This window comes from Homo sapiens, chromosome 2 (assembly GCF_000001405.40).
Source record: "Homo sapiens chromosome 2, GRCh38.p14 Primary Assembly".
Lineage (NCBI taxonomy): Eukaryota > Metazoa > Chordata > Mammalia > Primates > Hominidae > Homo > Homo sapiens.
Genome location: NC_000002.12, coordinates 154502492 through 154517494, shown reverse-complemented (window position 1 = coordinate 154517494; position 15003 = coordinate 154502492). Strand labels below are relative to the sequence as shown.

The 15003-nt window shown below is 35.8% G+C and overlaps 1 long non-coding RNA gene across 2 annotated transcripts in view; it reads right to left on the bottom strand.

Moving 5' to 3' along the window:
• Positions 1–15003, bottom strand: part of LOC105373693 (uncharacterized) — a 106969-nt gene that overhangs the window by 75885 nt on the left and 16081 nt on the right. The window contains exon 3 of one of the 2 annotated variants that reach the window (XR_923484.3): positions 7692–8116. The exons of the other annotated variant lie outside the window; for it this stretch is intronic. This is a non-coding gene — a long non-coding RNA (uncharacterized LOC105373693). Of the gene's footprint in view, positions 1–7691; positions 8117–15003 lie in introns of those variants that run through there. 2 annotated transcript variants of the gene reach the window in all.

The following is a 15003-nucleotide window of genomic DNA, read 5'->3' as shown; positions in this document are numbered from 1 at the left end:
TCTTTAAGGGCAGGTCAGTAGTGTAAAAGCTTCATATATTAAAAGTCAGAGGCTTAGAAGATATTCAATAAATGTTATCACTGTAATGATTATAAAATGACCCAAAGGTAAGTGGGAATTAAGACACAGGAGCCTTTAGTCTCAGATTTCTCATCTTCTTTTAATTCCTGATGCTTGTGAGTTGAGCAATCTAAATTCTTTACTCAAACCACCAGTAAGAAGGAGTTCATTGTTGTATATTTTGGCTTAGAGATCTTCATGACATACAAATGACATAACAAAAATATCCGTCAGACAGACTCATTTGCATCTAGCTATTGACTTCAGTTGAATGATTATGAAGACATTAACTAAGTGAAGCTATAATCTAAGGAATAAAAGCAGAAGCTATTTCTAAAATGTAGGTGAACATGGAAAATGTATATTCTTTTATGCAAGAAAGAAGTATTATTCAGCTATAAATTAATTAATCAAATCTTGATTATGGGTCGACTTTGTGCCAGCTATCTCTGTCTAATAGAAGACACATATATAAACAAATGAATGTAATAGAATACTATAGGTGTTATAATAAAATAATTAACAACTGGAATGGCCAATAGGTTTTATTTCATCTACCAAACTTCATAGGTTGATGATAGCTACTAGAGCATGATTTAGAAGGATGTGAAAAGGAGTCTACAACATCATCAACTGGTGATGACTGCCATAGGCCTGGGATGGAGAGGGTCAGTCTGCATGTTGTCTATTTGCTGTCTCTGCTCTGTGGTGCAGAACAGGTGCACAATGAGGAGGCAGAGGTTTTCAAAGGATCATTGACATTTCTGAAGACCCTTGAAACTGGACCTAAATATGAAGAAGGTGGGTGGTAATGAGCAGTCAAAGCAGAGGGGAAAGTATGAAGAAAGGCATAGGTCATAAAGTAACCTAAATGTTGTGGTCAGCGCTTCCTGTAAGTGTGAAGTTGGTTGGGAAGGAAGCAGGGTGGGTGCCAGGCTAGAGAGCTCCACAGGCATTAATCTGAGGAGCTGGAACATAATCTCCTTGTTCTGGAAACTTGTATCAGAATTACCTAAGGTGTTAAGGCAACCAAATTAAAGTATCTGGATGCGGGGCTAAGAATCTGCATTTTTAACTAAGAATATGCATTTTTAACAAGATCTCCAGGTGATTCTTAAGCATAGTAAACATTGAGAGCCCACAGTCAAAGACTGTTATATAGCAGGAAGATAAAACTTTTCAGGAAGTTTTCATGCTGAGCAGTTAACTCATGTTGTTTATAAATATTTCTACTCTAGAAGTGGGTAAAGCTGGTGTTCATGTTAGTACCCACATCCAAAGCCTCCCAGAACCCCCTTCGCAGGCCAAGCTGCTATAGCATTTCTAGCTCATTAATTTTAATCAGGAAGAACCTTTAGCTTAGTGCACTAATTACTACACTAGAATTCAATTGCAATTGAAAATATATACTCAATTTAATTGGAGCATTTTTCAGTAAATTGGATCAAAGGGAGATATTTCATCTTAGAGACAGAAACATGTTTTCAGCTGTGAAGATAAAAAGATTTAGCAAGAGAATAACACACTCTTATTGTCATGATGGTCCAGATTACAGCTAGGTATGCAAGAATTACCTACTCGTAGCTGCAGACTTTTCCTAGTTCACTATAGAAAACAAAGAAAAAATGCTACTGCTATTTAATGGAACCCCTTACTTCACTAAATGAATCCTTCCTATAGTTAAGTAGATCACAACTAATTAGGATCAGTTCCCTGTTTACATATATATACTCATTAGTGTTATTTTTTAAATACAGTGTTGTAAAAGAGACCAGATAGAGGAAACAAAATCCTGAAATTTGGGATATGATTATTCTATTAATAGTATTATTATAATTTTATTGTATATATTATAGAAAATGTTTATTCATTTCAGAGCATTTAGTCAACACGGGTTTATTCATTAACTCCTTTCTTCAAATAATTATTTCTTGCTAGGTACTAAGGACAATTTTATTGCTAGGTATTGAGGCAAGAAACAAATGTATTTCCTGCCCTCATGGTGCTTCCTGTCTAGGAAGGATTTAGCTATTATATTAATCAACAGTCAACCAAATATCAGTCTAGTTTCAATGGTCATATGTGCTTTGAAGCAAAAGTCACATAACACCATAAGCATATCAAGCAGGAGAAACCCCATGTTTTGGGAGTAACAGAAATTCCCTGGAGAGTGACACTTGGTTTTGAGTTGTGAATTAAGAGAAATTAATTAAGAATTTGGGAGGTAGGGGTGGATTCTAGCTAAAGGAAACTTTGTATTTGCAGACTAGGAGGATGACAAGTTTAGGAAACACAAAATGTAGAAGGGGGTGAGGGAGACTTGAACAAGTGTACGAGTTGAGGATGAAGAGTTTTGTAGGGGCTAGGCAATGTAAAGACTTGTAGCCACATAAAGTCTTTAGGTATTTTATTCAAACATGTAATAAGATCAGTTAACATTTACTAAGTATATACTATATGCCAGGTTCTGTGTGTTTATTTTACAAGAATGACGAGGAAATGCTGTGGTGTTGCCCAGAACCCTGGTTTCAGGACTGAGCACCATTCCCCTAGGTGCTGGGAGTGTTGCTCACTGACGGGAAGCCTAGTCCCTCCCCATGAATTTCCCTTGACCAAAACAGTCAAGGGAAATTATGCCTGTCCTAAATTACACCACTCTCTAAGGCAACCCTCATCCAATAACTGGATTTTGCTTATGTAAATATCCCATCATTCCCCCTTGCTGCCCCCAACTGCTCTTCTATGATGAAGTGAAAACATCAGGAAAATTATGATATATTGTTATATAAAATCTCTCATTGAATGAGCTCGTAATACTCATTTTAGCAATTGAACTATCTGAGTAAACATAATTGGAAAAATATAGAATATATAATAACATTACGTAAACATGTATAACGGTTTGATTCCTCATATAAAATGGAAATAGTATAATATCAATAAAATTAGGTTTTTTCATATAATTTGTTAAGTATGTTGAAAGAGGCAAGCAGATTTGTGAAGATGATTTCATTGATCAGCAGCAATTCATAAACTACCAAATTTAAAAGTGTTTTTCTGTTCATACCTACATCACTTGACGCTATTGAAGTTTCCCTCCTCCTTTAAACTCTTTATTCTCTTGCCTTAATGATAGTCTATCTTCTGTTGATCCTCAACTTTTCTGATCATTCCTTTTCTTTCTCTTTCAAGGACCCCTTCTTCACATGCCCACCCTTGAAAATTTACGAAGTCATAAAATTCAGGACTCAGATATTATCCTATTACTCTTCTCATTCTAAGTATTCTCATAATTTTACGTATTTGTATGATTTACCTACTATAAAAATGATCATTTTCAAATTTCGTTTAATTCTAAACTTATTCTCCAGATTTAAAATTTGCATCTTCAGATGTCTGCTGTACAGTTCCAACTGGAAATAAAATTAAAAAAAAAACACAAAGCAAAACAAAAACCCTAAACTGAAATGTTAGTTTTTCTTCCAATATCATTTCTTCCTCTATCTTCTCTATCTCAATTATAGCTAAACTGATTTATGTCCTGTGAATTTTTTCTCTCAAATATTCCTGAAATCAGTCCACTCTCTTAGATTCCAGCCTCCACTTGGCAGAAGTGAGTTTTCTGTCTCTATCTCTCACACTTTTGCTTCTGAACTCAAATTCATTTTTCATTCTACTGCCAGAATGATCCATGGAAAATGCAAATTCAATGTGTCATCTCTCAGCTAAAAACCCTCCAATACCTTCTTATCCTCTACAAATAAATGCCCAAATCCTTAGCCTGGTATGCATATTTTTGAAGGTAGGACCTCTTATTACCTTTCTAATACTAGATCTTATCTTCACCTAATTTGGCTCATGGAACACTTCGTATGGTATTTAGTGGTGCTCAAAAAATGTTCCAAAATGAATGAATGAATGCTAGAAATGTGTTGTAATATATCATTCATGACTAGACAGATCTATCAACACAAAGGGAGGTTGTGAAGTAAAGTACCCACATTGTCAATAGCTAAGCAGTAGTGGTGGTTAATAAAAATGGCTGATACAGCAATTGGAACACATGTACTGAACCAATGAGATAATTATTGTGTACTCTGATTTATATATGTCCCCTCTAGGCAGATACATGGAAAAAAAAGAACCTCAGAAACAATTAGGCAAAATCCTTTGAAAAGCATGTATACCATAACACTGTATGTATTTTGGTAGTCCTAATCTGATTTGAATTACAGACCACTCTTATGGCAATTAAATGAATGTTAAAACCACTTTTAGAAAAATAATGTGTATATAAACTTACATTTATAAATTTTTATATAATATTTCAATATTTTACTCAGTTTAGCTTGAAAATTTCTGCTATAATCAATCCGTAATTTCCTTTGTGCTTGGTTAATTGGGTTTTAAAGTTACATCAAGAAAAATTTTCTCAGTGTCATATATTCTATTAGAGTAGATGATATAGCCAAAAAGCAAATTATTGGTTTAAAAATAGTAATGGATCATTTAAAAATTAGTTTTTGATGCAATGTACCAAATATTTCCTTTATTACATTAAATAAAAAATGTGTCTGTATGCTCATAGTTCTGGAGAGGTATGTGCTGAACTGGATGATGTTTGAACATAGGCCTACAGCTGCAGAAACAAATGTAAAAGCCAAAACAGGGGGTATTCACATTTAATCTAAAATAATCCAGATGGTTGAGTGAACCATTTATGGTTTAATTTTTAAAATACATTTTTCTGGACTTTAAATTTTATTTTTTTATTTTTGCATTTTGGAATTTAGAATACACACAGGCACAAATATAACAATGTTTTGGCATTACTCAAAGTATTTAATTAGTTTAAAGATTAATATTGTCATTCATTTTTTCAGCCCTACAGGCAAAGCTTACATTATTTAAGGAAAAGAGAATGAAGAGCTGAGCAGTAAGTGGGTGATTCAGAGCTGTTATAAATACCTCTCCTGGAGTATTCAAACACTTATCCTTCATCAAGCTCAGGATTTAGACTCAGAATTATATGGACAATTTCCCCATCTTGCCACTTTGCCATCTGTCCTAAAGTAATCATTATTTTTCTACAACAATTACGTTGTGGAATCTTCATTAAGGAACCAACTACTACTTGGATCAATTAGGCTGGCATTGAGGCTGTTGGCCCAGCAAAGCACACTATTAACAAATCCCACATGCTCCACATATGTTAATCCTATTGCAGACAAAACTAGGAGTCTGTACTTTTACCCTGATTTGAGAGCTTAGAATAAAAAACTAGTAAATCAGGTAAATCAAGTCAAATATAAATTTTTAGATAAGGAGCAAAAGTCAAGATCTTTTGAAGCCTTCTCAATTGCAGGCAGTAATGGGACAATTGATACTTTCACTTTACTGATGTGTTCATTGACCACAGTTCTGTTTAAATCTTCCCATTTGATTCTTATTTTTTTTCCTTCATACCCTGCAGTCAGCAACTACAGATATCTGTTGAAATGGCTTACAACCACTGAAATGGATGAGAGGTTTTGTGTGCTTGACCGTCTATTAATGTTATGCCCTACTAACCTGCCATAAGAATTGAAATAATTTGAAATCACATGTGTACTAGGTAAAAGTATCAAGCAGATTAGTGTTCTATGTATTCCTTTGTTCAATGGCATGCAATCAATACCCACAGAAGCGTATATGATCATTATGAAGAGGCCTTGAAAGAAAGAAATGTTTAAGCAATTGAGAGATAGTTATGCTTATGTGTTATACAATAATAGATGGAACCAAAATAGATTTCATTAAGCTATTGTTTTAATTTCTGGAGTATTATTTATTTCTCTCACTTTTTTTTTTTTTTTTTGCCTCTTTGGCAGTGAGTAAAATACACAACAAAGTGCATTTTCTATACCTAAAATTTTCTATGAATTCTTTTTCTTAAAAGACTTAAAATACTTAATCACAAAGGTTTGTATTCCTCATGGCTGACAGAAACATCTGGGATCTTTTTGGCAGACTGAAAAATGGAGTATACCAGGTCAGTATCAAAGCAATGGCGAGTTGGCAGATGTTACATTTGCACTTCTTTATCATCTATAAGTTCCTTTCTATTTATATAAAAAGGCAAAGTGTTCTACTAAAGCAAATGTAGTATTTTAATAGAGGGTATCAGATATTAGGAAGAAAGCTTTCTACTACATATTAGTGGAAAAAAAATGGAATCGCCAATCTTTCAAAGAAAAGTAGTTGAAATCCTTGTGTACTGCTGGTGAGAATGTAAAATGGTGCAGCTTTTTTTGAAATCAGTATAGTAGTTCCTCAAGAAATTATAAACAGAATTTATTATGTAATGCAACAATTCCACTTCTGGCTGTATCTCCAAAAGTACTGAAACCAGGGACTACATCCACGTTCACAGCAGCATTATTCAAAATAGTCAAAAGGTGGCAACCCAAGTGTTCATCAATGGATGAATGGATAAAGAAATATGGTATATACATACAATGAAATGTTATTCAGACTTCAAAAGGAAGAACATTCTGACACACGCTAACATGGATAAATCTTGAAGACAGGATACAAAATACTTAAATAAACTTTCTTAATAGAGAAAGACATTGCCATTAAAAATTTTAAATTTAGAGAAACTAAAAAATATAAGTGAATGTGTTATATACATAAAGGAAATTGTCTGGAAAATAAAAAGCAAAATGTTGATGATAGCTATTAATGTTTGTTCTTTTTAATTATATATATTTTCAATTTTGTCCATAGTGAACATTGTATAATAAACAGTTAGGAAAGGAGGAGGTGGAGGAAGAGAAGGAAAAGACATTGTAGTTTTTTTTTTTTTTTTTTTTTTTTTCTGTTGCAAGATGCTGATACCTTGATAAACTTGCATTGTTTTAAAATGACAAAATCTGACTTAGGAATTTTATGCTCTCATTTCCCAACTCAAAGAGTTTCTTTTATGAAAATATTGCCCTGTATTGGAGTTAATGATGAGCTTTAGTATCATCTGCTGATTTAATTAATGTATGTTTACCTTCTCTTTTGGGTGATTAATGTGAGAAATGTTAAATGTGAGGTCTCACACGGATTTCTTTAGCACTCCACTTGATAGCTCCCCTTCATTCATCAAAAATGATTACACTTTAACTTTTCTTTATCCCTCAGCTAGCTTTTAATCCATAGCTCTGTTTCAAAGGAGTATTGACAGGCCTCCTTTGAAAGATAATGAGACTGTTTGACATCTTTGTGTTTACTGTACAATCCCTCTTAAAAATGCATTATGTAGATGTCATACAAATACAAACACCACAGCCCTGTTGAATCTTTTTATGTTGTGTATCTTATTCAGACATTGGGCCAGCCAATAGACCCTTATTGTGAGTATAGTCCTCTCTTGACAGGAAAGTCAGAATTCTAAGGGCGTTCTGAGGAGTGTGATATAGACAAAACCAGGAAGTGGACATATCTCTGCTGCTTTATCTTCCCTGGGATGCCAGGCCCTGAGCAGAATTACCCATGAGGAGGGCTGATGCTGAACATTATAGAAAATCACAGTATCTACTAAACTGGCTTTGTTGAGCACAGCAATACATTGTGGATTAAAACTTAATTTTAAGAATCTGGACTGAACAATACATAGTGGATTTAAACTTAATTTTTAGAATCTGCTTGTAATCACAAGGTTTTTGAGAATAAAGCAATAATAACTTGATTCATGCTTTTAATTCCTTGTATTTCTTAGTTTTTCACTAGGGTAGGCAAGTGGGTTATTTCTAGTGTGAAAATAATCAATTCTATTAAATTCAGTATTTTTAAACCAAAGAATGATTTTATATTCCAAACACTTCTTTTTTAAACCCCAACATTATACAGTAGTTGTCATTGTCTTTAAAAACAGATACAACCAGAAAGTGTTTACCTTTTTAATTCCCACTGTTTATACTGTACTCACATTTTTCAGAGTTCCTTCTGTGCTGGTGTCTAGGATGAAAATCCATCTCTAACACCCTTCCCTTTCCTAATGCTGCTCCTTGTCCTTTTAAGAGATCCCCTGTACAGATAGGAAGGACATTGTCATTTTGCCACACAGGCCCTGCTAACCCTCCACCTAGCCATCTCTGTGTTCTAGATCTTTGCCTCTTTTTTCAGTTTCCAATGCGAACATAACTTTTCTGTATCCCATTCTTTCAATGTCATGCTTCATTAAAAACTAGCTAATCTGATGAAGTCCAATGCTAATTGGTTCATGAGATTCCATTGTAAAATGTCATCTAGCTATGGTAAAACCTAATGTTGCCCTCTTAGGAATAATGAATTAACCTAAAGGAATGTCTATTGCATATGAGATTTTAGACACTATTTTCAGGCTTAAGGGAGAATTTTTTTTTTTTTAAGTTAGTGGGTTAAGTGTCTGTTAAGCCTTTTCTTCTCAGTGTGTGGACCTCAGACCAACATCAGCATCTTTTGGAAGCTTGTTAGAAATACAGACTCTCAGGTCCCTTCCTAGACCCAGCAAACAATAATCTGCACTTTAAAAACATTCCCAGGTATTTATGTGTACACTAAAATTTTATAATTGCACTTTTAAAATTTTTACCAATATGACTGCTGAAAAGTTTTATCTGATTGATATTTTAATTTTTATTTATATAGCTACTAGCAAAATTAAATGTTTTTATATAATTATTAACCATTTATATTTCAATGTCTATAATTAACTATTTTTTCCCTGTTTTCCATTTAAATGTTCATATTATTTATAGGATTGTGTATTGAGTATTCTTTTCTCTAAAATAAGTTACATTCTCTTTCCTAGTCATTTGTTAACAGTATATCTCTTATAAAAATACTTTAAATTTCAGAAAATATTAATCTGTAAATATTTTCTGTTATCTTAAAACCCAAGGTACCGGCCGGGCACGGTGGCTCATGCCTGTAATCCCAGTACTTTGGGAGGCCGAGGCGGGCGGATCACGAGGTCAGACGATCGAGACCATCCTAGCTAACACAATGAAAGCCCGTCTCTACTAAAAATACAAAAAAATTAGCCAGGCGTGGTGGTGGGTGCCTGTAGTCCCAGCTACTCGGGAGCCTGAGGCAGGAGAATGGCACGAACCCGGGAGGCGAAGCTTGCAGTGAGCTGAGATCGCACCACTGCACTCCAGCCTGGGCGACAGAGCGAGACTCCGTCTCAAAAAAAAAAACAAAAAACAAACAAACAAAAAACCCAAGGTACCATATGCTGCAATTCATTTCATTTCTGAAAAATATCACATATGTATTTATAAACCAAAAAATTACAGCCCAATGGCTTCATGTAATTTCTGATCATTCTGAATGTAGGTGCAAAAGTGTTTATTCATTGAAGCCTGTCCGTTCCTCACTAATTTTTAGATCATATTAATAATGATAACTTTCTAATTTTTTTTTGTTGGAAGTTATTTTGAAGTGAGCGCCTTCTTATTATAATTTCATTTAGGCCTTAGAAAGTATAAAGTAAAGAAGTAATTGCATTGTGCTCACAGATCTCTAATCTGGAGTACACGCTTTTGTTGTTCTGCTCTTTGAACTCTACAATGTGATAAATCACTACTAAAATGTTATTATTTCAGATAAACTCTCAGATTCAGGAAGATTCTATGTAGCTCTTGTAAGAGGAAAAGTAAATCTATGTCAGGCAAAACAGCTAAATCAACCACGATTATTAGTTGAGTGACAGATATTTTTGTCCAAGTGTCTTGCCTATTCATAAAGAGAACAAATCCAAATACAAGCTCAGAGAATCTTGAAATATTTGCATTCAAAGAAACCTCAGTTGTTATCTATTCCTAAAATCCCTTGCTAGAAATGATTATTTAAATTACCTAAATTTAGACAACTCTATCAGAAATGTAGTTTCTAGAAATAGAAATCAGAAATGGGAAAGTGTTCCAAGAAGTAGAAGTTTTTGTTTATAATTAGGGCAGGTTTGTAAAAATAAAATTGCAATAGCTTTAGAAACAGAATATTTCCCTAGTGTTTTTAGCGCAGAGAAGAGGCCCTAGAGGCCCCTACAGGGCCATCTGTGCTAGAACAAGTCAATTTCAGAAAAAAATAACAGCAGAAGCAATCCCCATTACAAATGTACTTAAGACTTGTCAGCTACCTTAATGCTCCCCCACTCCCAAACGACCACCAGATTACCCTGTTGGTCAAGCAAAGCAAAGTTTATTAAAGTTATTTCAGAAAGCATGAACAACATCTTGATAATCTCAATAGTGTCTCAGAAAGGGAGGGCAAATAAAGATTTTTATAGGGTTTTAGGTTTCGTCACAGTGATTCAAGTTAGGTTTATTAAACTTTTGCTGGACAAAATTTTATTAAACCTGTTTACTCAGATGAGGAAATTATTTGTCTGGAAAAACTGATTTTCAGGAATTTCCTAAAGTCATTTATTATTTTATATCATCATTTTCCTGCATAAAAGAGAAATACAAAAGAATTTTTTCTGCATAAAAAAGAAATCCAACATTTCTTTCTCCTCAAATAAATGCTGCAGTCAAACTGACAGAGGTAGTTTTATTCCACATTAAGCTCTGTGGAAGCAGTTGGTCTCAATTCCAAAATTTCTGAGGAGATTATCTGGGAGACAAGTCTTTCTGCCTTCCTACTTCCTTGCCAATCCACACATTGTAGTCATCCTAATCCTCAACAAGATTCTTTTAAATTTGCTATAGTATAATTTCAGGGACCTACTCGCTCCTCAAAATACCTTGCCATATGCTTGAAGATATTCACATTTCTGATGAGAAATGAAAAGTTTGAAAGACAAGTGATTGGCTGAGCTAAAGCTTTGGCTGAAACTCCTTGAAATGAAAAAAAAAATGACCAGACTATTGATTAACAAGTTTAAAAAGATGAAATAAATGCTTTCCCAGTTTTAAAAGGAGGAGGAGCCACAAAGAGAACAGAAGGGCTTTAACATCTAAAATGTGGAGGAGATGAGGAAGTGGACCTCAAAGGAGAAGCAACAGATGCAGGTAGAACAAACAAAAACCACAGGATGGAGTGTTTTGGTCTAGCTAATGCAGACAATCCCAATTCTGTATAATGGGGAAATGTCAAAGATGAAATTGGTATATGAATAATTTAACCAATTAAAAATAAACCTGCAATTTTTTATTTTTTTAGGGCATTTGAAATTAAGTGTTTTTACCTAACTGTTCATTGACCAAGTCAAGCCAAATACTATACAACCCCACATTTGTAGGATGTGGGGACCAAGAGTGCCCCGTATTTGATCCAAGTCTAGATCCAGATATAAAATAATTACCATGATATGTAACATGTTTTATAATTCCGTCCTTGTCTTTGTTTATAGAAGACATTAAAACATTAAGACAAAAAAACGTTAAAACACTGCCTGTAGTGAAGTAAGAGCTATTAGATGTTAGTACCACATAATTTAATTTGTGGAAAGTATAACATAAGTATGCTGTTTAGGTGTCATTTTTCCAGCATGTGTTTTATCCTCCTAGCATTAGTTGTCTGACAAGAGGTGGCCTCCTAAGAATACAGAATGACAGTTTCTTAGTAAGTAAACTGTAAACATTTCTTCCTTGACTAGTGATGAAAGTAAACAATTAAGTCACAGTTTTCACATTAGCAGATTTGAAGAACAGCAGTCAAAACTTATCCATTTATTATATATAAAGTGATGTTAAATACTGTTTCTATGATGTATAATCAAGGCAGGATAACTCATTATGTTTTAAAGTATTTACAAATAATGTTAAACACAACCATTCTCTGCTTTGTTTATTGACTTTATTAAATGTTATGTATATACACCAATGGTTTTGAGATATTGGATGTTGTATTAGTCTGTTTTCAGGCTGCTGATAAAGTCATACCCAAGACAGGGAAGAAAAAGAGGTTTACTTGGACTTACAGTTCTGCATGGCTGGGGAGGCCTCAGAATTATGGTGGGAGGTGAAAGGCACTTCTTACGTGGTGGCAGCAAGAGAAGATGAAGAAGAAGCAAAAGTGGAAACCCCTGATAAACCCGTCAGATCTCATGAGATTTATTCACTATCACAAGAATAGCACAGGAAAGACCCGCCCCCATGATTCAATTACCTGCCCCTGGGTCCCTCACACAGCATGTGGGATTTCTGGGAGATACAATTCAAGATGAGACTTGGGTGGGGACACAGCCAAACCATATCATTCCGCCCCTGGCCCCCTCCAAATCTCATGTTCTCACATTTCAAAATCAATTATGCCTTCCCAACAGTCCCCTAAAGTCTTAACTCATTTCAGCATTAACCCAAAAGTCTACAGTCCAAAGTCTCATCTGAAACTAGGCAAGTCCCTTCCACCTATGAGACTGTAAAATCAAAAGCAAGCTAGTTACCTCCTAAATACAATGGGGGTACAGGTATTAGGTAAATACAGCCATTCCAAATGGAAGAAATTTGCCAAAACAAAGGGGTTACAGGCCCCAGGCAAGTCTGAAATCCAGCGGGGCAGTCAAATTTTAAAGCTCCAAAATGATCTCCTTTGACTCTATGTCTCACATCCAGGTGATGCTGATGCAAAAGGGGGGTTCCCATGGTCTTGGACAGCTCCACTGGTGTGGCTTTGCAGGGTACAGCCTCCCTCCTGGCTGCTTTCACAGGCTGGCATTGAGTGTCTGTGGCTTTTCCAGGCACACACTGCAAGCTGTCGGTGGATCTACCACTCTGGAGTCTGGAAGATGGTGGTCTTCCTCTCACAACTCCACTAGGCAGTGCCCTAGTAGGGACTCTGTGTGGGGGCTCCAACCCCACTTTCCTTACCGCACTGCCCCTAGCAGAGGTTCTCCATGAGGACCCTGTCCCTGCAGCAAACTTTCGACTGGGCATCTAGACGTTTACATACATCTTCTGAAATCTAGGTGGAAGTTCCCAAACCTCAATTCTTGACTTCTATGCACCCACAGGCTCAACACCACATGGAAGCTGCCAAGGTCTGGGGCTTGCACCCTCTGAAACCATGGGCCGAACTGTACCTTGGCCCCATTTAGCAACTGCTGGAGTGGCTGGGACTCAGAGCACCAAGTTCCTAGGTCGCATACAGCATAGGAACCCTGGGCCCAGCCCATGAAACCATTTTTCCTCCTAGAATTCTAGGTCTGTGATGGGAGAGGCTGCCATGAAGACCTATCACATGCCCTGGAGACATTTTCCTCATTGTCTTGGTGATTAACATTCTTGCCTTGTTACTTATGCAAATTTCTGCAGCCAGCTTGAGTTTCTCCCGAAAAAGTGGGTTTTTCCTTTTTACTGCATCATCAGGCTGTAAATTTCCTGAACTTTTATGCTCTTTTTTTAAATTAAGATGGAATGCTTTTGACAGCACCCAAGTCACCTCTTGAATGCTTTGCTGCTTAGAAGTTTCTTCTGCCAGATACCCTAAATCATCTGTCTCAAGTTGAATGTTCCACCAATGTCTAGGACGGGGCAAAATGTCACCAGTCTCTGCTAAACATAAAAAGATCACCTTTGCTCCAGTTCCCAACAAATTCCTCATTTCCATCTGAGACCACCTCAGCCTGGACCTTATTGTTCATATCACTATCAGCATTTTTGTCAAAGCCATTCAACAAATCTCTAGGAGGTACTAAACTTTCCCACATTTTCCTGTCTTCTGAGCCCTCCAAACTGTTCCAACTTCTGCCTGTTACCCAGTTCCAAAGTCACTTCCACATTTTGGAGTATCTTTTCAGCAATGCCCTTCTCTACTGCTACAAATTTACTGTATTAGTCCCTTTTTATTCTGCTGATAAAGACATACCCAATACTGGGAAGAAAAATAGGTTTAATTGGACTTACAGTTTCACATGGCTGGGGAGGTCTCAGAATCATGGTGGGAGATGAAAGGCACTTCTTACATGGCAGCAGCAAGAGAAGATGAGGAAGAAGCAAAAGAGGAAACCCCTGATAAACCCATCAGATCTTGTGAGACTTATTCTCTATCATGAGAATAGCTCGGGAAAGCCCTGCCCCCATGATTCAATTACTTCCCTCTGGGTTCCTCCCACAACACAGGGGAATTCTGGGAGATACAAATCAAGTTGAGATTTGGGTGGGGACACAGCCAAACCATATCAGATGTAAATCATTTCTTTCAATCATAGGTCTATCCCTCTGACGTATTAAATTTATATGGAAACTTTCTGATCATAGCACATAAAAGCAATAAGATTAATATTTTAAAATAATAATTATTGTTGTTGATGTTGACATCAATCCCATTAGCTCCTGCTTTTATTTATTGAGATTTGTTGTTATTTTTGAGACAAATCCCACTCTGTCACCCAGGGTGCAGTGCAGTGGTACAATTGCAGCTCACTACAGCCTCAAGCTCCTGGGCTCAAGTAATCCTCCCACCTCAGCCTCCTTAGTAGGTAGGACTACAGGCATGCACCACCATGATTGTCTAATTTTTAAAAAAAATTTTTGTAGAGATGGAGTCCCATTGTGTCACCCAGGCTGATCTCTGACTCCTGGGCTCAAGACCAGGATCCTCCCACGTCGGCCTCCCAAAGTGCTGGGATTACAGGTACCTGGCTAGTGCATGCTTTTAAAATAGTAATGATGAGGGTAAATAAAACTATCTTTATAATTTTAAGTTTTATGAAAAAGGCTCCACTACCCAGAATTAGTCCGAAAACTAAAACAATGGATTAATTCTCCATCTTTTCCCATAATCATTACTTTCCTTTCACTTTATATTTTCAAGTCAAAAAATTGCATACTCAATAGTCTTTATATAATACTCTGTCTTACAAATTATTAGAGAATGCAAAGAGATTATTTTTTGGCTTTGCTACCAACACATAAAAACTACATTAATACAAATTTACAACAGATCATTTACTGCATTTTTCTGCTTCATTCTTTAATGAAATGTTAG